The 25,180-nt window shown below is 38.8% G+C and overlaps 1 protein-coding gene across 26 annotated transcripts in view; it reads right to left on the bottom strand.

The window, feature by feature from the left end:
- Positions 1-25,180, bottom strand: part of SLC25A26 (solute carrier family 25 member 26) — a 245,318-nt gene that overhangs the window by 119,263 nt on the left and 100,875 nt on the right. For 16 of the 26 annotated variants that reach the window (XR_007095631.1, NR_174572.1, NR_174575.1 and 13 more), the window contains 2 exons: positions 22,965-23,121; positions 16,353-16,462 (listed from right to left, as the gene is read on the bottom strand). Coding sequence is in view for 10 of the 26 variants with exons in the window: in NM_173471.4 (NP_775742.4) it covers positions 16,353-16,462; positions 22,965-23,121 (267 nt within the window). In the remaining 16 variants the exon portion in view is untranslated. The remainder of the gene's footprint in view (positions 1-16,352; positions 16,463-22,964; positions 23,122-25,180) is intronic. The other 10 variants (NR_028475.1, NR_174578.1, NR_174574.1 and 7 more) reach the window with 1 other exon arrangement.

The raw sequence follows: 25,180 nt of genomic DNA, 5'->3' as shown, positions 1-25,180 counted from the left end.
TCTATAAAAGACATCTGGAAATGAATATGGCTCAGAGAAGGTCAAATCTGAGGAAAAAGGAGTAAAATGCACCGGACCTGGTCACTGACAGGAGGTTAAGGAGTGAAGAAGTAGGGAGACAGTAAGATGCTTCTGTTTCTGGTTTGGATAATAGGCATATGGTGGTCCCAAAACATGAGATTAGCAGTCCAGGGAAGAAGGGAGGTAAGTTCAGACTAGGCAAGGCTGAGTTGAAGTCTGGGGGACAGGTAAGGGGCTATGTCCAGTCAAGAAATGAATATATGGCTATAAAACTAGAAAGTAACTTTTTCTTGGATGTGAATACAGATATGGAAGTCATCAGCATACAGGTGATCGCTAAAACCAGATAGTAACACCCAAAGAGAGAACCAAAAAGGAAGATCAAAGCCAATAATGGAACCCTGGGAACATAAATTTCTAAAGAGCAAGCAACACTGGAAGGCGGTACATAATGTTGCAGGGCACACCTGCCTTCTCTGGCAGCCCAGCTTCCGACTCTCACGTGTGGGGGGCTTCCCAGTTAGGAAAAACAAAGGGAGTCAGTCTCTCCCCTCCTACCCTGGCAGGAGGACCACAATCAGGTGAGTTAGGTCTGGCTAATCAAACACTCCCGTCCAGGGGTCTGATTCTAGAGCTATGCTGGCAAATATGCAGGCCACTAGCCCATGCAGCTATGGAGCACTTGAAAAGTGGCTAGTACAACTGAGATGTTCTGTAAGTGTTAAAATGACAGATTTTGAAAACTTGGTATAAAAAATTAATGTAAAATATCCTGTTAATAATTAAAAAAAAAAAAAAAGAAAAGGAAAGAGAAGAAAAAAGAGAGAGATGAGGGCTCACTATGTTGCCCAGGCTAGCCCTGAACTCCTGGGCTCAGGCAATTCTCCCACCTTGGCCTCCTGAGTAGGTGGTGCCACCATGCCCAATTAATAATTATTTTACATTAATTATACAGTGAAATCTAAATACCATGGATGTGTGTGGTTTAATAAAATATGTTATTAAAATTCATCCCAGCAGATGTTTTCACCTTTTTTAATGTGGCTATTAGAAAATATAAAATTTCACCTGCATCTTACATTATATCTCCATTGAACAGTGCTGTTTGGAGCAAGCGGGAGAGCTGAACATTCATTTACAGAAATAATTGCTTTTTTAGATGCAAGTGCCAGGACCATGACTACAAATGACATTAAGTCACTTAAGTTATTTGGTGACAGGCAGTTCAAATTTTAGTCCAGAACTTCAAAGTGAACAAGATGCCAGGCTCTTCCTATCCTTCTACCCAGCCACCCAGCTTCCTGGCCTCTCATCCTGGGCATCCTGACTCTCAGATAAAAGACAGCTCTTACGTCCTCCAGCACCACCCTATCACACAACAGAGTTGAAGGCAAGGAGAACAGGCCTCCTCCCTTTTCTCAGATTTCCCCCGCAGACATCTCCTTGCATGTGTTGGCCAGAGTTGTGTGACATGGCCACCCCTTGTTAGGGAGGTGGAGGATATCTAGATCTAGCAAAGCGTTAGGAACATGAGACACAAACCAAATCAGTATTCTGTGGGCAAAGGAGAAGTGGAAGGCAACAGTGTCTGCCAATCTTCCAAAAAATATTCTTCATTCCATAAGTTAGCCAGGATCAATGTTGATGGCAAGCAACCAAGCACCCTACTTGATGTGCAAGGGGGCCAGAAGCCTCAAATGGAGACTGGCAGAGCAACGCATCAAGAGTCTCGAGCAGCGCACATATGAAGGTTTACAGAGTTCACCGGTATTGCTTCCATAGAGTGGCTGGGGTGGGAGATCCATTACGGTCAATTCATAAGGGATTGAGGGAGATGAGCAAGTGTACACTACCGTCGTGTGAAGATGGCTAGGTGTTAGGAGATGGATTCAGAGTTAAGAGGGCCACAGGGTCAAGGAATAGTGTGGTTTTAACACAGTCAATATTTGCACATACGATGGGGGAAAGTGCTATCAGCAAGAGAAAGGCTGATAATCTAGCAAAGAAGTGAAATAATACATGAAGACCCCACAGGAAATGAAAAAAGGTAGAGTCAGAGGCCCGAGCCCATGACTCTCCGTCTATGACTACCTCCCTTTACCAGGCCCATCCCTCAGCCTCGGGGTCACTCCTGCATCAAACCTGGATCTTTGGTTCAGGGCTCAACTCCAGGGAGGAATGAGCAGTGGTCTGGCTGAGGGTCTGCGGCCCTAGACTGTGGCCCCAGTTCTGCAAGTGAATTCCCAGGTGTTTCCCTGGCCTTCCAGAGTCTTTTCTTTTTTTTTAATTCATTTTAAAATGAAGAAAATTGACAAATAATAATGTATATATTTATGCAATTAGATGCATATATGTATAATTTTTCTTACTTGACTTGGACCAGAAATCTTTATGGTATCTTTTTAGGTCCTTATTTCTATAATTCTTAATTTTCCAAAATTATACCTTATCTAACCTCAAAAGATTCCCTCCCTCTGTATTCTTAATTCCCAAATAAGCTTTCTTATCTGACGTTTTTTACTTACTAGCTTACACCATATAGTTTGTGAAATATATTTCCTCTTCTACTAAATTGTAAGCACCCTGACAGCAAGAAGATGGTATGCACCAAACTTACTAATCAGCTGGTGTATTATTTTATGTTGAAAACAAATGAAACTAGCCAGGAGGAAATGAATCAGCAAAAAAATAATCATCAATTCCACAGAAATGACTTCTCCATACTTTAGAATTTACATATAAATATACATAGAAACAGGGTATCGTTCTGTCACTCAGACTACAGTAAGGTGGCATGGTCAAAGCTCACTGCAGCCTCAGTCCTGGGCCCAAGTGATCCTCCCATCTCAGCCTCTTGCGGAGCTGGGACTACGGGTGTGCCACCACACCCTGCTAATTTTTTCATCTTTTAGTAGAGAAAGGATCTTGCTATGTTGCCCAGGCTGGTCCCAAACTCCTGGCCTCAAATGATCCACCTGCCTCAACCTCCCAAAGCACTGGAATTACAAGCGAGAGCCACCATGTCCAGCCTAATTTTTTTTGTTTTGCCTCTACATATATTTATTGCCTATACATATACTTATGTAAAGAGTAGGGAAAAAACAGAGTAGAATTACAGGTGTTTCTTTTCTACCTACCTATATTTTCTAAATTCTCTACAATTCACATTTATTATTATTTCACAAGTTTTTAACATAATTTCAAAGGAAAAAAGTATTTATTATGGACCAAAGATTTTAAGTGAGGAAGAAAAATAAAATAAAAGGGCTAATTTAAAATATGCTTTTAGATGGCAACCTATCAGCCTTGATAAAAAGGACATATTATAAATTTAGTAGCAATAAATCCACAAAAACAGATTAAACAGCTTACCAGTAAGGCCTAAAATTGGGTATAAGTCCAACGAAACCTACATGAACCTAACAGGACAGCTCCCAGCATCTAAAACTCATTAAAGAACTGAAAATAAATAAATAAGAAAAAATAAGAGAAAGAAAAGGGTATACTAACTCCTTGTATTTTTCAATTCAAGAGGTCAAGAGTGAAATCCGACCCCAATATGTGAAGAAAATAGGAACTGTCTACTTCTGTGGTTTGGTATAAATATTTATGGAACTTCATGCTTCATAACCCTCCAAGTTCTTACTATTGTGTTTTTAGTTCTTAAAAATACAGATGCAGAAGAAAAACTTTGAAAAGCCTCTCCGATAAAAAATCAATCTAACTAGCTGAGGGGTACAAAGCACCCAGCATGGCTTCCTGACTTCTGCTGGGTGACAACTGTGGCATGAGAGATGCTACAAAGTAATGCTTCTGCTTCCTCCAGTACCTCCGGAGCCTTCCATTTGGTTTTCTATTAACTCTGATCCTTCTTAGATTTGAATTTGAGCTACAACAAAGTATTTCACTGCACAAGAACAAAAACATGTTACAGTATTATGGTTCTATGAAAGGAAACAGAATGTCATCTGTGGGTCTCTTGGTAAATCCATTCTGTAAAGCATTCTTTCCTTATAAATCTGAGGTTCAGTATGAATCCATGACACAGGAATGGTGGCATTTTCACTAAATCCAAGAATGTTTTAAATGTTAAAGTTCTATCTAAAAACAAGAACTACTAAGGTTTTCCATAAAGGAAAAAAAAAAAAAACATGCTCCCTCCATACTTTATCAAAATCAAAATGCAATGCTGGCCTCCTTAAATATGCCAAAATATGAAACCTTAGATTAAAATGTTGATTAAATCATGATGCTGCTACCAAGATTTTTCTTCCTTTGGCATAAATAAAATATTTTCTGTTGTTTTTAATTGACTGCTGCAGCTAAGGACTGAATGTTTCCTTTTGATATTTATTAAATGAAACACCAAGAACCAGGTGCACATGCATGCTGCCCCTGCTACTCAGGGAGGTGAAGACAGGAGGATAACTTGAGGTCACAAGTTTGGAGCCAGCCTAGGCCACCTATGAGATCCTGTCTCTTTAAACAAAAACAAAAACCCAAGATGCAAGACTACAAATCATAAAACTAAACATTTGAAAGGGAAAAAATTCCAGTGAACTTCGGCCTCACTTTAGGTACTGAGTGGAGGAAAAGAGAGATGGATGCTGCTAAAACCCCTGGTTCTTTCATTGCCACAGCCAAGTTCCCTTCCTTCAACACATCACCACCAGGGTTTTACAACTGCACCCTGTCCTCTAGTTCTGGAAATGCTCTTCAAAGTCCCTAAGTATCCCCAATAATACCTTTTATTAACATTACATCTTCTTCGCAACTATTTCAACATAGTTCACAAAAAAAATTCTGATTTAAGATTTTTCTCCAAGAAACTCCATCAACTACCTGCAAATATTCCTCTGATATTAGAAGCTAATTATGTCACCATTTTATATATAAATCAATCTGAGATCATAGAAGTTGCTGAAGGTCAGAGAGCTACTTAGCTCAGGAAGCATGGGTGAAACCCAAGTGTTCTGACTATCATCTCCAGAATTATTTTTCAATAAAGATGTCATACTTACACACATCTAATGCACTTAGAGGTTCAAGGTTTAATTTCAGCTAATGCTTCATGTTTCAACAGGCAACTCTATAACCAATTCAACAGAAATTTAACAATACACTGAACAGAGCCACTCAAAGCTTCATCGTATTCAAAGCAAAAGCTGCTTTGGACTTTCCAGAGCAAACTCAAAGTGGCAAATTAGTAAGACAGGGGGTCAGGGAGAGACCCCTGGAAACTATGAAGATTTTTGAAATGCAATTTGCTTACGTGTATTTCATTTCCACATTCTCTTTGTAATTCCCAAAATTCTCTTTAGAAAGCAGGTTTCCAATTAAGAATATTTTACATCTCTTTCTATACCATCATTTAAAAAATCAAAAACCTCTACAACAGTTCATTTGTGTGTCAAGTCTGCCATCTTCTGTTGATAAATGGAATTACAGCTGTTGACAAAACCAATTTACAAATCCTAACTTACACTCCTTAGATTTTAATTTTTACCTACTTGCATTGGGACCTATGTTCATCAAACCTTTCCCCCTTATAAGACTCTTTCCAATCACGCAAATAAGTTCAATCGTTGTAGGTATTAGTCTTCCCTCGCCTGACAAGACTGCTGTCACGGGTAATACAGACTACACAAGGAAGTCTTCTCAAAGAAAATAACTCTATCAACACTTAGTCCCTGTGTCTACAATTTGTTCACAGAATTTTATACAACCCAAAAGATAAGCCTCAAATGGCTTTTTTGCTTTTGTATTTTTCCATAACAGAAATGAGCCATGATTTCACAGGAGGTGACAAACATCCCATGGATGGATTTATAGATTCCCACCAATACAAAAATCTGAACGTTGAGGAGGTGGCAATGGTGACTGTATTTGCTTCCTACTGCTGCTCTGACAAATCACCACACATTTAGTGGCTTAAAACATAAGCTTATTATCTATAATTCTGAAGGTATGAATTCCAAAATGGGTCTTCCTGAGCTAAGACCGAGAGATGTCAGTCAGGCAGTATGCCTTCTGGAAGCTGCAAGGGAATGTTGACTTCCTGCTTTCTAGGGCTCCCCTGCACTCCTTGGTTTGTGGCCCCTCGCTCTATCTTTGGACCAGCAGTATACCATCTTCAGCTCTCTGACCCCCGCTCCCCTCTCCTAAGGACCCTACTGATTAGACTGGGCCCACGTGGATAATCCAGAAAACTCTTTCCACCTCAACATTTTTTTTTTTTTTTTGAGATGGAGTCTCACTCTGTCACCCAGGCTGGAGTGCAGTGGCGCGATCTGCAAGCTCCACCTCCCAAGTTCACCCCATTCTCCTGCCTCAGCCTCCCGAGTAGCTGGGACTACAGGCGTCCACCACCATGCCCGACTAACTTTTTTTTGCTTTTTTTTTTAGAGACAAGCTTTCACCGTGTTAGCCAGGACGGTCTTGATCTCCTGACCTCACGATCCGCCCGCCTTAGCCTCCCAAAGTGCTGGGATTACAGGCATGAGCCACTGCGCCCGGCCCCCATCTCAACATTCTTAATATTATCTGCCAAATCTCTTTCCCGTGTGAAGAAACACATTCAGAGATTTGGGGACTAGGACATATTTATGGGGGGGGGGGGGCATTATTTTGCCTATCACAGTAACCAACGGCAAATTTTGGAACCTGACCTTTTAAGAAACCAGTGATGTGAATCCTTACTGCACAAGTAGTATACTTACCGCTACTTCTGCCATTTTTTAAATACTACATGAAAAAGAAAACAGAGGTGCTCCTGGAAGTATACAGAGAAATATTTATCTAATTACTTATTCTACAGTGGTGTTTTATTATTAGCTGGGAATAATAATAGCTGGGAAACTTGGAGCACATCACTAAACTTCTTTGAATTTCAATTTTTTCACCTTCTGAATAGATACCTTTCCCAAAACTAGGAAATTCTAAAAACGTGCCGCATTCAGCAACTTGTGTGAAATGGGGCTAGACCCAATGTTTATTCAATATTTTGTGTGTCAGATGCTAGGCTGGACACTTTGTTAAGTGCTGTATAATTTCATCCTTGTAAGAACTGTGACTGGGATGGCATTAATCCTATTTTTTCAAGATGAGGAAAAGAGCATTTCAGTGAAGGCAAGTAAATGGCCTACAGACAAATAAGTGGACAAGTCACAAATCTGACCCCGATCTGTGTAACTTGACAGCCCATGGTCCATACCTTGCTACCTCCCTACAGACATCCTCAAATACTCCCTAGTTATTTAACAGATGGATCCAACTTACTTATATGCTCCTCAAAAACGGGGATCAAATTTCTTATTCGGTGTCTCTTAGCACCTATTAATAGTATTAGCTATACAACTCAAATATTGAAAAGCACACAATCACAAACCAAAGCAAATAAGTGACAGTTGCATTTAATTCAAGAACCCTAATCTTAACAAGGCAATATTTTAGGAAATAAAGGTTTGTCACTGACAGAGTTCAGGCTCGCTTGGAAGTGGCCAATCCTAACCTCCTTTGGTATTTTGGTCCTTTGAGAGTAGTATTCAGTCTTTCCATTTACAATGCAGTGGCAATAACTGACCAAGTTACACTCCTGTGGCTCAGAATCGTTTCTTCAACTTCATCAACCTATATGAAAATCATACTGTGCCTATAAAGCTCAACTTAATTGTGTTCTATAAACTCATGCAGCTCTTAAATAAAAAGTTAACAGAGCTTCCCTTCCTTTTTGTCCACTAACTAAATAAAAAAATCAATGAAATATACTCTCCCAGGTCATGAATCAATACCATCTGAACTAACACTGCATACTATATTAGAAAAAGAAAATCCATACAACAGAAAACAATCTGAAATATGTTAGAAAAGGAACTCATCGAGAAACTGGGGGTGAGGATGCAGATGGGGTACAATGTTCCTTTCTACAGGCCTCACTGATAAATCTCTTCAGCACATTCATGCCTGTACTATAGATGAATAACTACAAGCAAGGTCATAACCACACACAGATAATGCCAAGCCAGGGGAAGCCCTGACCCTCCCGTTCTGACCCTCTCTCTCTTTCGTCTTCTTTCCCTCTCTGCGTGTTAGCTCAGACTCAGATGGCTGGGCCCACTGGCAAGATGGGGCATGCTTATTCAACTTAGCTCGGTAGACTCCATTGGAGAATTCAAGTAGGTGCACAACACACATAGACACAACAAACTAAAAGGCATCCATGATGAAAAACGCACTGAAGGATGTCGCTGGAAGGGCTCCTGAAAGAATGATCATCTTTCCACCAGCTCTACCTCTTTAACATCTCTTGAACTCACTCTCTCCCTCTGCATCCCTCTGCCCCAGCTGTGGTTCTCTCCTGGGGATTCCTTTAATAGTCTCCTTATCTCCACACAGCTGCCAGGGGACTTTCTTAAAATTACAAGTCTGATCAAAAAAGTCCCAACTCCTTACTATAGCAGGCAAGGCCCTATAGCTCTCAGCCCCTGCTTCGCCTCAGGGTGACCCTATCATACTGTGCTCCAAACATATGGAACTTAAAACTACCTAACAAGGTCTTTTCAGAACTCTAACACCCCTCCTTGCACCCACCCACCTAACAAACCATCCTATTCTAAATGCAAGATAATAAAATTGTACTATAACTGAGACTCCTGCTAAATCAGATTTTAGCTGCCCTGCCACAAACACAAAACAAAAAGACTAATTATGTTAAATGATGGATATGTTGACTTACTTCACTGTGGCAACCATTTTACTATCTATACGTATCCCACATTGTGTTGATACCTTAAATAGATGCACAATTTTTTTAATGAATTAAATTAAATGCAGCTTAAAGCCTGGCTATTCTGTGAGGCTTTTTCTGAATTAACACCCATCCATCTACCCCAGTCCGGAGAAAACCAACCCCTCCTTCCCTTCAGTCTCTCACTCTACCTTGTACAGATGACCCTCAATTTATGACAGGGTTATGTCCCAATAAACCCATCATAAGTTGAAAACGCATGTGATACCCCCCAACCTACGGAACATCATTGCTTTAGCCTTGCCTCCCTAAAATTGCTCAGAATACTTACACCAGCACAGCTGACTGGGACATGCACTGCCCACCATTGCCAGAGAGCATCTTATCACCTATCACTAGCCCGGAAAAGATCAAAATGCAAAATCTGAAATACAGTTTCTACTGAATGCATCTCACTCTTGCACCATTGTAAAGTCATTTAAGTAGAACCATCGTAAGTCACGGACCGTCTATAGTTCCTTTTCTTAAAAATGCCTGTAACACTTTAGTGCACTTACAGCAAGCCTCTAAAAGGCAGTATCTTATCCTGTCATTTCATCCTCAATGCCTGGAACGTATTAGGAACTTCAGATCTAAATCCACATCACTAGGTAAGGACCATAGAAGTGGTGAAGGAATCTAAGATGAGCTGAACAAAAGCAACCTATTACAAAAAAGAATCAAAGATGTACAAGTGAGGAAATAATACAAAATAAAAGGAGTCTGGAAAACAAACTGCTTTTTATATGGTTGAGATAATTTTTTGTGTAATTCTTATGGTTTAGGGTTGCTAAGAAGGAATTTAAAAGTCTGCCTGCCTTATGTATTTAATGCCCTGAAGGAAGACTCCCAGACACACTTTGAAAAAGTCAACAGACAGGAAAATAGGGTGAAAGGTCCCATAATACATGGATGTGCTTAGACACATCACACAAAAAAAGTGTTTGTTTGAGTGCACTCAGGTATCTGACAGTTCTGTTTCAGCTTCTGTGTTTCCTGGTAATAGTCATACACTATTGATGAACCTTCATTCATCTTTATATACAAGCAATTGCCATCATCAGCTACATTTCACTGTGGCTCAGGGCAGCCATGTTATCTTCTACTTCACCTATCCCCCACGACTCACTTATACAACTGTGCAGAGATGTGGCAAAATATTCCAGCTGCAAGGGAGAGATAATCTGTATTGATCGATGAATATTTCAAAAGCATGATTAATTCAAAAGATAAAATACATTTCAAAAGTTGTCAACCTTTCTTCTATTATCTTGCTCAGTGGTTCTTCTTAGAAAAGGCCAGTGAAGATCATGAAGAATACTACGTACTCATTTTTAAAGCATGATATTAAGTAGATAAACAAAACAGCTTAAGCCACAACTAGGGAAAAACTCAGTAAAATGTGCACCATGCTCTGGAGCTGAAAAACACCACACAGCATCTATGCGTCCAATCCTTTAACCAGTGGGAAAGCTGAATAAGAACATGTTTGCCCCATATGCTGATACCAAAGGAGACCCTGGAATGGACTGTGGTACAAAGGGGGTCCAACGGCCTTGTCAGTTACTAAAGGAGCTAAACCATAAAACAAGCTGCCTTTGCCTACGAGGCTCTATGACAGCATGGGCCTTGGAGAAAACCTCATTCTAACTCCAGTTAAATCCAAATCTACATGTCTGAGTTCATTGTCACACTCAAAAATAACCAGTTTATTAAACTAGCCTTTTTAGGTCTAAAATATGTCATTTTGAGGAGAACAGAAAGAATAACACATTTGATCTACAAGTGGTACACCACACCCAGTGTTGTGCACCTACTAAAATATTATGTAGGGAATTACTGAGCCAATTCAGTAAAAATATTTACTACTGGGGTGTAAGTTCAGATGTTTTATGTGCCTAGATCAGTGGCATTAAATATTGGTGAGTTGCACAATCATCTAGAGATTGTGTTTAAAATACAGGAACCCTAGTGTCATCTCCAAAAATCCCCATTTGTAACTAGCTACCTACGCAACTGATGGTGAAGTATGGGGAGATGCTCATCGGGCCTTCTTGGGGAAGTACTGTTAGAGGCTGTCAGAAAAACATTTACAAAACATGATATCATTTATTTCCTAGCTTTTTCAATCCCAAGTCAGAACAGGACCATAAAGGACACTTGAAAAGGACACTCTACCAGCATCTAAGTGTATGAGGACATGTACATGTCACCTATGAACATACATTACATTCACAGTGTTGCTGCTTTCAAGGGTGAAGAAATTTCAATGTTTTTTTCATTTCTGACAATATGAATAAAGACAAAAGTAGGATAAGATACAACACGTCAAATCTTAAAACCTTTGAAGAAAAGAAAATCACTACCATTAGAATGTTATAGCATATGTACCGTTAAAGTAAACCTGCCCCAACCTTTGATCTAATTACAGATTCTACTTCCCAAAGGGCTTTTTCTGTGTGTGATGAAAACTGAGCTGGAAAATTATTGAGGTAGAGATTTAGAGATTTGGCACAGCAATCTTCCTAATAAAAACGGCACAAGCAGGACCCCTCTTGCTATTGTTACATGTTAAATCTTATTTGACTGATTTTACTGTATTCTAAATTGCAAACATAAGGTAGAAGGTTGTAATTATAGTTTCACTGATTCATCATTAAGTTTTAATCAAGCTGTTGCTACAGGGAATGGTTATTATTTTGGCACTGTTCTTTTGTTTCTAAGTTTCCTTAATAGTTGCTACAAGAAAGTAACTGTGGCTATATTCAACACAAACAAAATATGTTATTGTTTCTAACCAATCTGTCTAACATAATAATCTATCAAAGCAAATGTGTTACAGAATAATGATTGCACTAAAGTATTTCTTATAATCTCTAGGTTACTATACCTTTCTGACCATTGACAGCTATAAATGTTTTCTATTCCTATTTCTTTTTATTTTACAAATGAAAATTTATGTCCTCTAAATTCACCTGTTGGTTTCTCTTAATCTTGGCAACCATACTTCCATGAATCTGAAATCAAAAGTTTATCTTCTATGAGACTAAAACAGGTTACTAAAAAAAGAAAGGCGTAATATGTATATAAGCATTTATTGAGAAAATTCATACTGAATGGCTTCAGGAAGTTTAAGATCAAAGATTATTAGAGCATCAGAACCAATATTTCCACAAACTTCATAAATTTGGCAAACTTCTCAGCATACTAAACCATAACTGAATTTAAAGTCCATTTAAGGTCAATATTGGCAGGGTGCAGTGTCTCATGTCTGGATTACAGCACTTTGGAAGGCCACAGTGGAAGAACTGCTTGAAGCCAGGAGTTCAAGACTAGCCTGGGCAACATAGTAAGACCCCATCTTTACAAAATTGTTTTAAAAAATTAGCCAGGCATAGTGGCACCTGCCTACAGTCCCAGCTACTCAGGAGGCTAAAGTGAGAGGATCACGTGAGCCCAGAAGTTACAGGCTACAGCAGCTATGACCACATCACTGCTCTTCAGCCTGGTTGACAGAGTGAGACCCCATCATTCATTCATTTGTAAATATGTGTGTGTGCATTTGTGTGTGTGTGTGCATATATATATATATTTATATTTATATTTAAATAGCCAACATCAAGAAGTATTTCATGTGTAAAGTCCTAAATCTATGTACCCACTGCTGACCAATTGTCCTCTTAAGATTCTCTAGGGGCCTGGCGCGGTGGCTGACACCTGTAATCCCAGCACTTTAGGAGGCTGAGGTGGGCGGATCACGAAGTCAGGAGATCAAGACCATCCTGGCTAACATGGTGAAACCCCGTCTCTACTAAAAATACAAAAAAAAATTAGCCGGGTGTGGTGGCGGGTGCCTGTAGTCCCAGCGACTCGGGAGGCTGAGGCAAGAGAATGGCGTGAACCTGGGAGGCAGAGGTTGCAGTGAGCCGAGATCGCGCCACTGCACTCCAGCATGGGCGAAAGAGCAAGACTCCGTCTTAAACAAAATAAAAACAAAGATTCTCTAGGAATTGCCAGGCCTGGTGGCGCACACCAGTAGTCTCAGCTACTGAGGATCTCTTGAGGCCAAGAGTCTGAAGCCAACATGGGCAAATTACCAAGAGCCCAGCTCCATAGCAACTATAAATAGGTGTTTGATAATTGGCCTTACCAGCTCAGGGACCACAGAACCCCCAAAAGACACAATGTAGGTAAGAATGTCCTTATCTGTTGTATCTCCAGTCTCATGGATACTTGTTTCCTAATTCTAAAATCTACCTACCCCACCTCCCATGCCTAACAGTCCACATATCAAATGTTATGACATAATATTTGTAAATCTTAGAAACTTAGAGCCTTTTCCAAGGCTCCAATTTTTTAAAAATATTAGTTACAGATACTAGGAGCATCAGAATATAAACGACTTTCTACAAATAAAAAGATGTATGATTAACATGAGAAATCTAATAGCTACTATATGCCCTACCTATTATATCACTTTCTATTTTTTTGGACTGAAAGTTTATAAACTGAGGAAAGCCTGCCCTTCAACATGGCAAAATAACTTTCAGGCAAGATGGCCCCAGGTGAAATGAAGTGGCCAGGTTCTTTTTTTGTTGCTTGCTCTCAACAATGTACCAACAAATGTAAGTATACATACTCCAGACTAACTGCATGTAACGAGACTGTGTGTCAGGACATAATCACCTAAATTAATTTTAAAAAGAAACCAACTACTAACAGATGCTACAACACGGATGAACCTGGAAAACACTACACTAGCTGAAAAAAGTCAGTAACAAAAGACCACATATTGTAGGATTCCATTTATATCAAATGTCCAAAATAGGCAAATTCATAGAGATAGAAAGTAGACCAGTGGTTGCCTAGGAGTGGGGAGGGTTGGGGTGAAATGGGGATTGTGACTGCAATGGGTAAGAGCTTCCTTTGGGGAGAGATGTTTTAAAATGGACGCTGGCAAAGGTTGTACAACTCTGTGAATATGGTGTAAACCACTGAATTGTACACTTTAAAGGGGTGAACTGTATGGTATGTGAACTGTATCTCAATAAAGCTGGTTTCTTTAAAAAAAAATCTTCTTCATGTTAACTTTTACTTTTGTGTTACCTCTCTTTCCATATCCCCAGTTCACTTATTCTTAAACAAGGAATATTAGGTTACTAAACAGTTTGTAGATTCTTGTTCAAACTTCCTAAAGAAAAAAAGTGCATCAAAAACAAATTCACAATATAACACAATTTTTAATGTAAATGTTATAAAGGTTAATTCATTTCCCAAGTTTCCTATGTAAACATATGCCATTACTTTTCTAATTACAAAGAAAAGTGTGATTTGATAAAAGGCTTACAAACTTAAGACCTTTATCTTCACTGTGTTGTCCATTTCTATTATGCCCATCACAAGGATGGGGGTTTAATAAGACTGCATGAATACCAGGCTGTGTGATTTGAAAATAACACTAATAAGCAACATAAAAGGCTGTCCCTCAGCATTGTGCAGAAGGGGTAGGGAGAAAGATAAGTTAATGAGGGGAATGAAGAAACTTTTATTTGTATTATACATTTCTCCTCTGCATTAGTTTTGAGGTTTTGTTTTTTTTTTTTTTTTTAATCATAACTGTGTTTACGATTTCGGTTTAAAATATCAATTTTGGCCAGGCACAGTGGGTCATGCCTATGATCCCAGTACTTTGGGAGGCTGAGTCAGGAGGACTACATGAGACCAGGAGTTCGAGACCAGTCTGGAAAACATAAAGAGACCCCCATCTCTTCAAAAATAGAAACAAAAAATAAATATCACTTACACTTACCACTTACAGTACTGTGTTCTACTTTGACTGAAATTATTTACAAAAGAGTTTTTTGTTTGTTTTTTGTTTTTTTGAGACAGAGTCTCGCTCTGTCGCCTAGGCTGGAGTGCAGCGGCTTGATCTCGGCTCACTGCAAGCTCTGCCTCCCGGGTTCATGCCATTCTCCTGCCTCAGCCTCCCAAGTAGCTGGGACTACAGGCACCCACCACCACACCCGGCTAATTTTTTTTTTTGTATTTTCAGTAGAGACGGGGTTTCACGGTGTTAGCCAGGATGCTCTCGATCTCCTGACCTCATGATCCACCCACCTTGACCTCCCAAAGTGCTGGGATTACAGGCGTGAGCCACCGTGCCCGGCCAAGAGTTTGGTTTTTAAACACATGGTAGGAACAGACTGCCTATTTTTTGTCACTGTTGCCAATTTTACTTCATTATAATGACACAACTAATGATCTGTAATGACAATGTCTCTGCAGTATTCACTAAAACTGGCCCTGTGGGCTATTGTTATTAAGTTCCAATTATGCTTGAAAAAGTCTATCTTCTTTACTTGTTGGGTGCAAAGTTTTACATGTATCAACAGACCAATCTTGTCATTGTGTTGTTCAAATCTTCTATGGCCTTAGTAAGTTTATGCCTACTTCGAGAGAGAGATGTGACTATCTCCAACTAAGACTACAGTTTTCTTCATTTCTCCATAAAATTCTGTCAGTTTTTGCTTTATATGTTTTGAGACTATGTTATTCAGTGCAGGTTCGGGCTTGTTACATCTCCTGAAAGAACTGTTCCAGTATCATTGTGCACTGGTCTCTTTGTTTTTTGCCTTACGTATTTTTTCCTAATATTAATATTATTCCACAAACTATTTTTCAATTAGTATTAGGGTTTCATCACAGAAGCAAAACCACTATGAGTGATAAGGATTATAGAGATTTGACCAGTAATTATGGGAGCTAATTAAGCAGTTTGTATAGGGCTGTTGCTTCTCCATCTAGTGTTGGGATAGAAATCAAAGGGCAGGCAACAGGGAAGGAAAGATGGATGTGAAGTTGGGGAAGAACAAGGACAGACTGGAAGTCACATTTATTTCTCACCAATCTGTGACAGAGAATTTGCAGTATAAGCTGGCACCCTTCATGACAGAGCCCACAAATCTGACCTAGAATTTGGAGAAGCTGATGGAAAAGAACCAGTGGGAGCTGGAGGAGCTGGAAGCCAAACGTCAACATGGTGATACAGCCAAGTCAGTGACAGGGTGTGTGAGCTGCAACAGTGCCTGACCATATACCAACCTTCTGAGCAGAAATACAGCTCTTCACTTCTACCTTACAAAGAACATGCAAATTTCTCTTGTGGCTGACCCAAACTGAAACTATTTCGGAAAGGAAATTCTCGGAAAAGTAGTTCCAGCTCAGTTGTACCGACACAATACAAAGCTGTCACAATTCGAATGGATATTTTCTTCCACTCTTTGTCTTTTTTCCATATAATTATGTTTTACATCTGTCTCTTGTAAATTACACATAGCTAGAATTCTTCTTCTGTCCTATATAAGGCTCTGTCTTTTAGTTGTCAGGCTCTATCTTCGAACTGTCATATTTAATCCATTTACATTTATTGCCATTTATGACTTTCATAATTTAAAAATAATTTTTAAAAAATGAAATAAATATGTACTGAAAATATATGCATGATGTGCATTTCTGAAGTATTTTATACACAAAACTTGTTACTTACCACTTCTCCAGCAGAGGCAGCCAACATATGTTTCATAGGTGTCAAATATGAAGATGAATCAGCATGCAAAAACCACTTCACATATTCATAGGTGATAAAAAATGCAGCAGCTGAAATTTAAAACAAGCCAGTCTTTCACAAAGTTTAAACATATATTCACACTGTTAAGAAACATGTTTCTCAAAAAGTATGACAATAATTATTAAATTATGAGATAAGAGAAAAGGTGATAAGCACATATCTTTTCTTCCTACCCCCACTCTTTCAGAGTTTACTGACGCCATGGTATATGCCTGATCTTAGACTTACAAAAATGCAGAAAATATAACACCTACCCTGAAGGAGCACAAGTGCTAATCTAGCACTTACCGTGTTGTACTGACAAATTACTTATACATTTTTAAAGTCAACTTTAGAAAAGGATATGAATTTCTGTGATCCAAAATATCATTATGGATGGCCATAAAACAATCAACTACATTGATGAATAAACAGGTTAAAATTGCAAACATACTTTAAAGAAAATGTCTATTCTATAATGTTTTATTACTGGTTACTCAAAATAATCATGGCTATTTTTTACTGCATGAATTCACTTTTACATCAAGAAAACAATCAGCCATTTAATTAAAATCTCTAAAAACCTCTAAAAAGCTACCCCTATCACAATGAACTAATCATAGCTGCATATGACGGCTTTAAAACTTTCTATGTACTGTTAACCAAAAAATGTTTATCAGTTGGATAAAAGATAAGGCACAAGAGATAAAGGAATGACAAATTCATCTTCTGAAGGGCATCTGAACATGTCACTAACTCTGAAACACTAAGGAAAACAGCTTGATGGTGAAAATCAGTTCTCCAAAGTCAACAAAAGCTTGTAAAGGATCTTCACGTGCTAACAAATATACACTAGGCTAAATGAAGAGGCACTCTGTCCATGAATGAATAATGACCAGTTCAGGTAGTTTTACCTGGTTAACACAAGTCTATTCCCATTTGTGTTTCTTCATGTGATTTTTCCCACTTCAGCCCACTTAATAAATGTGCAGCTATAATACCTCTAATTGCATTCAGCTGTTAAGTTCTGCCACTCTACATCCTACCCTCCTAACCCCCAAGAAAAGGGAGAGAGACAGTGGTAAAACTTCCTCCATTTCATGGTTAACCACCTCAACTTCATCTGACTTTATGGCTTCTTTTGTAACATAAAAGGTTCTTTAAGAATATAAGTTCCAAACCTCCCTCCACCCTCCAGGTGGCATCCAAGAAGGCCTCTACTAACTGCAAATGTCAGTACAGTCAGGTTCCAAGTTGGGGGCTGAACAAGTTAAAGCAAAGAATAGGGGCTGGGCTAGCTGATGCCTATAGTTCCTTCTGGCTCTTTAAAAAAAAAAAAAGCTATGCTTTCTCTACATTCCCTTCAAAATAGGGACTAAGGCTCCTAAACATGGTCTTCTCTTCACCTCTTTCCATCTTTGTTTCCCTCTAGCCCCACCCCAACCCCTCACTCCTGCAGCATAGGTTTACAAAAACATCCACATCCACTGATGATCAACTACAGTGAAGTTCTGTACTTAGATTAAAACCGTAACCAATAGCAAAAGAAAAAAGACACCACACACAAAAGTCCAATTCTTTCAAACTTGGCAGTAAAACAAGGCTATTTTTGAACCCTGGTACTCTGACTTTTCCCTAGCATCTCCCATTCACTGAAGTTTCATGGATGGCAAAAATAATACTAATAATTCAAAACCACATTATATATGTAAACTCCCGAGGGAAGAATGTAAAACCTGTGATCTTAATGACATCACTATGTAACCTACGCACTACAGCTAATTGTACATCTTCCCAAAATAATCTTTCTATGCAATATGTAAGATAAAAGGATCTTTAGAAGAATGAGTGTAGAGACACCATAAAAAATGGTGACCAAAAGATAGGGACTTTGTGACATGTTTCTTTGCAATTCCCTAGTTCAGAGGTTCTCAAACTTGTCTGAATTTAAGAATCATCCTGGGATTTTTTTTATAACATCCAATGCCCAATCCACACCTCAGACCAATTAAGTCACAATGTGTAGGGTTGGGTGACAAGCAGCAGTACAGGTGATCCTTGAACACGGGTTTAAACGCACAGGTCCACTTACACATGGCTTTTTTTCAATAAATATACTGGAAAAATTTTTGGAGATTCGTGATAATTTGAACAAACTTATAGATGAACCACATAGCCTAGAAATACCAAAAAATTAAGAAAAGGTGGCCAGGTACGGTGGCTCACGCCTGTATTCCCAGCACTTTGGGAGGACGAGGCAGGTGGATCACGAGGTCAGGAGATCGAGACCATCCTTGGCTAACACAGTGAAACCCCGTCTCTACTAAAAATACAAAAAAATTAGCCGGGTGTGGTGGCGGGTGCCTGTAGTCCCAGCTACTCAGGAGGCTGAGGCAGGAGAATGGCATGAACCCAGGAGGCGGAGCTTGCAGTGAGCCAAGATCGCACCACTGCACTCCAGCCTGGGTGAAAGAGTGAGACTCTGTCTCAAAAAAAAAAAAAAAAGAAAAGAAAAGGCTAGCCCTGTCATGAATACATAAAATATATTTAGATACTAGCCTATTTTATCATTTACTAACATAAAATATAAAAAGTTAAAATTCATCAAAACTTACAAACACAAACCATATAGCACATCATTCATAGTTAAGAGAAATGTAAACAAATGTAAAGATGGGCCAGGCACAGTGGCCCACATCAGTAATCCCAGCACTTTGGGAGGCTGAGGCTTAAGCTCAGGAGTTCAAGACCAGACTGGACAACATGGAGAAAGTCCATCTCTACAAAAAAATAAATAATTAGCCAGGTGTGGTTGCCCACACCTGTAATCCCAGCTACTTGGGACTGAGGTGGGAGGATCACCTGAGCCTGGGAGGTTGAGGTTGCAGTGGGCCAACGTCATGCCACTGCACTCCAGTCTGGGCAACGGAGTGAGACCTGGTCTCAGGGGGAAAAAAATGTATAGTGTTAAATCATAACTGCACAAAATTAACTGTAGCACATACTATACTACTGTAGTAACCTCTTTGCCACCTCCTCTTGCTATTATAGTGAGTTCAGGTGTTGCGGAGTATCCACTTAAAATGCCACGTGACACTAATTATCTCCACAGGAGCAGTTCATGGCCGCAATAAATTGCCTATCACAGAGCAAAAGGATCTCTCCCAGTTCTTATGTATTTTTTGTCGTGGTTAGTGCCATACCACAAACTTTGAATAACACCACAGGACCCAGATGAAGTGCCACTAGTGATGCTGGAAGTGATGACATTTCAAGAAAGCTCCTAAGAAGCAGAAAGGAGTCATGACATTACAAGAGAGAGTCAAATTGCTTGTTAGGTACCACAGACTGAAACCTGAAGCTGTGGCTGCCAGCCATTTCAAGATGAATGAATCCAGCTTAATCCACTGTTAAAAAAAAAAAAAAAAAAAAAAAAGAAAGAAAGGAAACTCATTAACCCATCGCTGCAGCTATGCCAGCAGGCATGAAAACTTCACACTTCCTGCAAAGTACCTTTTTTCTTGTTTTGAAAATGCAGCTTTCATGTGGGTAAAGGGTTGCTATAATAAAGGCATACTTACTGTCTCTAAAATGATTTGAGAAACAGCAAAGTCATTTCATGACAAGATCAAACAAAAGGAAGGTGAAAGATCTAAAGCTGAAGAAGTTAATGCCAGCCAAGGATGGTTTGATAATTTTAGAAAAAGATTTGGCTTTAAAATGTCAAGATAACAGGAGAAGCAGCTTCTGCCATCCATGAGTCAGTAAACAAGTTCCCAGCTGCCATTAAGTAAATTATTGAGCAGAAAGGACATCTGCCTGAATAGATTTCTAATGTAGATGAGAGTGCCCTGTTCTGGGAAAAGAAAAATGTCACCAAGGACATTTATCAGTAAGAAGAGAAGTAGGCAAATCCTTCACAGTATTCATGACAGAGCCAATCAAGAAAACCATAAAAGAGATTGTGGATGTGGCAAAAAAAAAAAAAGGTTGGGGATGAAGGGTTTCAAAACATAGATCTTAAATTCAAGAGCTAACAGACACCACACCAGAGGAATTAACAGAAGACAACTTGGTGGAGATGAGTGCTTCCAAACCAGTGTCAAATGACAAGGGAGAAGATGTAGAAGAAGGAATGCCAGAAAAGAAAATGACATCAGACAATCGAGCAGAAAGGTTCTGATTATTAAAGACTGCTTTTGACTTCCTTTATGACAAGGACCCTTCTATACAATATGGGCATTGAAACTAAAGCAAATGGTGAAAGGATTGGTACCATAAAGAATCATTTTTAGAGAAATGAAACAGCAAAAAGGTGAGACAGAAACTATGATAAATTTCCATAAAGTTACACTATGTGAGCCTGCTTCTCTTGCCTCCCCTTCCACCTCCTCTACTTCTTCTGCCTCTGCCACCCGAGACACCAAAACCAAGTCCTCTTTTTCCTCCTCCTCCTCAGCCTACTCAACATGAAGACCTTATGATGATCCACTTCCACTTACTGAATATACGTTTTCTCTTCCTTATGATTTTCTTAGTATTTTTTCTCTGGCTTACCTGATTGTAAGAATACAGTATATAAAACATTTGCCAGGCGCAGTGGCTCACACCTGTAATCCCAGCACTTTGGGAGGCCAAGGCAGGCAGATCACGTGACGTCGGGATAACATGGTGAAACCCCGTCTCTACTAAAAATAAAAAAATTAGCCAGGTGTGGTGGCGTGTGCCTGTAATCCCAGCTACTCAGGAGGCTGAAGCAGGAGAATTGCTTGAACCCAGGAGGTGGAGGCTGCAGTGACCAGAGATGGCGCCACTGCACTCCAGCCTGGGGGGTGACACAGCAAGACTCCATCTCAAAAAATAATAATAATAATAATAAAACACATAAACATGTGTTAATACATATCTTAACACACAAAGTATGTGTTAATCAACTGTTTATGCTATCATTAAGACAGCAGCAGGCTATCAGTAGTTAAGTTTTGGGGGAGTCAAAAGTTATATTCTGATTTTTGACTGCACAGGGGATCGACACCCCTAACTGCCAAATTGTTCGAGGGTCAACTGTATTTGTTTAAGCTCTTCAGTAATCAGGTGATTCCAAAGTGGACAAATTGGGGAACCCATGCCCCTCTCACGTACTTAAAACTATGCTTGGCATGGAGTGGATGCTCACTTAACAACTTGTTACAATTACTCAGAGTATTAACATACACAAAAATCGAAAGATGACCAAAACAGTTTGCCATTCTAATGATGGCTGGGGGATGGGGAAGGGCAGGAGAAAAAAAGAAACAGAAATACTGTTTTTCTCTTTGCACTACAAACCTTTATGTGAATGCTATGCTCACAGAATGAACATTTAAATGTCAGGTTAACGTAAGAGAAAAAAATTCTCATGAATCATCCTGCGAAAAACAAAAGCAATCCCCAGAATTTAAGAATCTTCTAGAGCTGTGGTTTTGTGGGTGTGTCTTATATATGGTGATTTTTTGTTTTGTTGCTTTAGTTTACTTTCAAATGCCACTAGAGGCATCCAACAGTAAACAATTAAAATAAGTATCTGCAAACAGTATACCAAGAAGCAGATTAAACAAAACAGATTACATTGACTAAAGAGTAAGAGCGTCATAAGTCACATGACTTCAGAACCAAAACAAAAGACATTGGAAGGACAGTATCCAGGAGAACATTAGTGAGAAACACTTGCATCATGTAAGAGCAATTTAATTAGGATAGAAATGTGTAATGCCTCTTAGGTTCACCTGCTCTCTAAGATGCTCCAAAGCAGCTATTATCAAACTTGGCTTCACAGCGGAGTCACCTTGGAAGTTATTAAAACTCCTAATACCCAGGCGAAGCCTAGACCAATTAAACTTCTAGGATGACACAGGACATCAGTATTTTTTAAGGCTTCCCAGTAGATTCTAATGTGCAGGCAAAGTTGAGAATGATTGTTCTGAAGAATCACAGCATTAAAATAACACTTTAAGGATTCTAGTTGGAAATTTTAACAACAGAAACAATTTTTAAAAGATTGCTTTTTTTTTCCCTACTACAAATATATTGAAATGGAATCTATAACACTATCTGATTCAAAAATAATGGGTTAGGCCCAGCACAGTGGCTCATGCCGACTATAATCCCAGCACTTTGGGGAGCCCAAGATGGGCAGATTGCTTGAGCCTAGGAGTTCAAGACCAGCCTAGACAACATGGCAAAACCCATTCTCTACAAAAAGTACAAAAATTAGCTGGGCATGGTGGTGCACGCCTGTAGTCCCAGCTACTTAGGGGGCTGAGGCAAGAGGATTTCTTGAGCCCAGGAGGTCAAGGTTGCAGTTAGCTATTATCTCACCACTGCATTCCCACCTGGGCGACAAAGTGAGACCGTGACTAAAATAAATAAAAAATAATAATGACACCAGGTTAAAGAAGGAAATTCAGAAGATAAGCTTCAACACACAAGGAATTCTATGGGGGTAAGACCACACACCATTCTGAAAATCCCATCTTATCTTGGCTTTACAGAAGTGAGAATATAATTTTTTACCATTAGGAAAGGATCCAATAGCAGCAGAAGGAACGCCAGCATATATTCCATGAAAACCACCAGCCTTACTAAATCCTTGGGGACTCTGCAGCCTGGTTTTAATGGTATCCAGAGGAAATAATATCAAGTCAACAGAAACACCTGCTACCCCACCAGCCTTTGAAAAAAAAAGAGGGAAGAAAAAGAAAAAAAAAAGGTTACAACAAAATAAGCTCTCGGCCACTTGGGGGCGAAGATAGGAAGACAGTCTTTAAAGCACATTTCTCATTCCTTTCAGTCCACAACTTCTGCGGCACAAAGGACCGTCAGCCTAAATCTACAAGTTTTCCTGGGAAAATAGCCATTATTGTGCTATATTTTTAAGTTGTAAATTTTATATTTTCTTTTTAAATCAATTTTTAATAAAAAAATTTTTAAACAAAATTTAAATTCATTGTTAATATAGTACTCACATGGTTCAAAAAGCCAAAAAAAAAAAAAAAAAAAAAAAAAAAGTCCAGATGTGGTGGCTCATGCCTCCCAGCAGTATGGGAGGCAGAGGTGGGAGGATCACTTGAGGCCAGGAGTTCAATACCAGCCTGTGCAACACAGTGAGACATCATCACTACAAAAAATAAAAAATTAAGCTGGGCATGGTGGCACATGCCTGTAGGTCCAGCTACTTGGAAGGCTGAGGAACAAGGATAACTTGAGCCTAGGAGTTCAAGGGTTCAGTGAGATGTGATCCCACCACTGCACTCCAGCACAGGTGACAGAGCAAGACCCTGTCTCTTAAAAATAAATAGCCAACAAGAACAACAAATAAACTTCAGAAAAAAGGTAAAGAGCTCAAAGTCTCCTTCCAATCTTGTTCCTAATAACTCAGGTAAACCACTTTTATTGGTTTCTTGCTGTATCCTTCCAAAGTTACTTTAAACATATATAAGCATGTATGAACATATAGTCTCATTTTCTTTAAAAAGAAAAGATGATGTACAATATGCACTATTCTGTACTTTTTTTAACGATTTATCTTTTCACGTCAGACCAAATGTTATATTGTTGTCTTAACTAATAAGCAGTGAATCCGAATTGACTCCTTTCAGACTGGAATTTTGAAACAGCTTATAATCTCTGTGAATCTGGATCTGTATTTTAATAATCACACATCTAAGGACTCATACAGTATTCTCTTTGCTTTAAATGTATTTGAAAATTCCTTGATAATTTTTAAATCAAGTGAATAAATTGATTTTTTTAAGAGCTAAATTCCTAAAGGAAATTAAAATCTGGCCCAAACTAGTCATCTCCCAAGAGATACCATGTTGCTTTGGGGAAGCTGTACTTTAAAAACTGATTAATTTCTGCTAAATGGATTTTGGGGGGAAAAAACTGATTAAGAACTAACTCTGTACCTCATGATTATAGTGACAAATATGTAGAATATTTTTAAACTCGTTACACCTTAGTCAAAGAAAACAGAAATTGACAAAATATGAACACGAAGAGCATCAAAGAAAGGCTAATACATATGAATCCTTACATGTGTGATTATTAAAATACAGATCTAGATTCACAAGGATCATTAGTTGTTTCAAAATGTGGGTCTCAAAAATGTCAATACAGATGCACTACTTACTAGTGAAAAAGACAAAAACATAACGTTTGTTCTGATACGAAAAGATCACCCAGATCTAAAGGCATCATTTAAAGATGTGAGTCAAAGTCAGTTTACAGCAGGCAGGCAGAGGCATTATAAAGAGGAAACTTTCCTACATAGTAATTTTTTAACTAAATTGCTATTTTTTGCTATATTTTGAAATCAGAACCATGTAAATACATTACCTATTCAAAAAGTAAAAATACACATTTTTAAACTATACATTTCATGACAAAGGAAAAAAAGATCATCAGTATTATTCAAACATACAATTGAACTTCAAACTGATTGTTTCCATCCTTCGAGTTTACAAAATGTGCAATGCTACAAAGCTTGGTACCTAGCAAATACTATCTGCTTTACTTACCGCTCACCATAAAACCATCCCAGGAGTTAACTTGAAAAATGAAATACTTTAATGATAAATCCAATACCTATTTTCAAATTAACTAGCACAGGTTAATTATTAAAAATTAATTTACACTAGACAAGTACATTACTATAAATAGTAATACTATACTTCATGATCAGCCCAAAGACATTAAAGAAGCCCAAAGACCCTGAAGTTCTAATCTGC

This window comes from Homo sapiens, chromosome 3 (genome assembly GCF_000001405.40).
Source record: "Homo sapiens chromosome 3, GRCh38.p14 Primary Assembly".
In the NCBI taxonomy this organism is placed as follows: Eukaryota; Metazoa; Chordata; class Mammalia; order Primates; family Hominidae; genus Homo; species Homo sapiens.
Note: the sequence above shows the minus strand (reverse complement) of the source record. Positions and strands in the feature narration are given on the sequence as shown.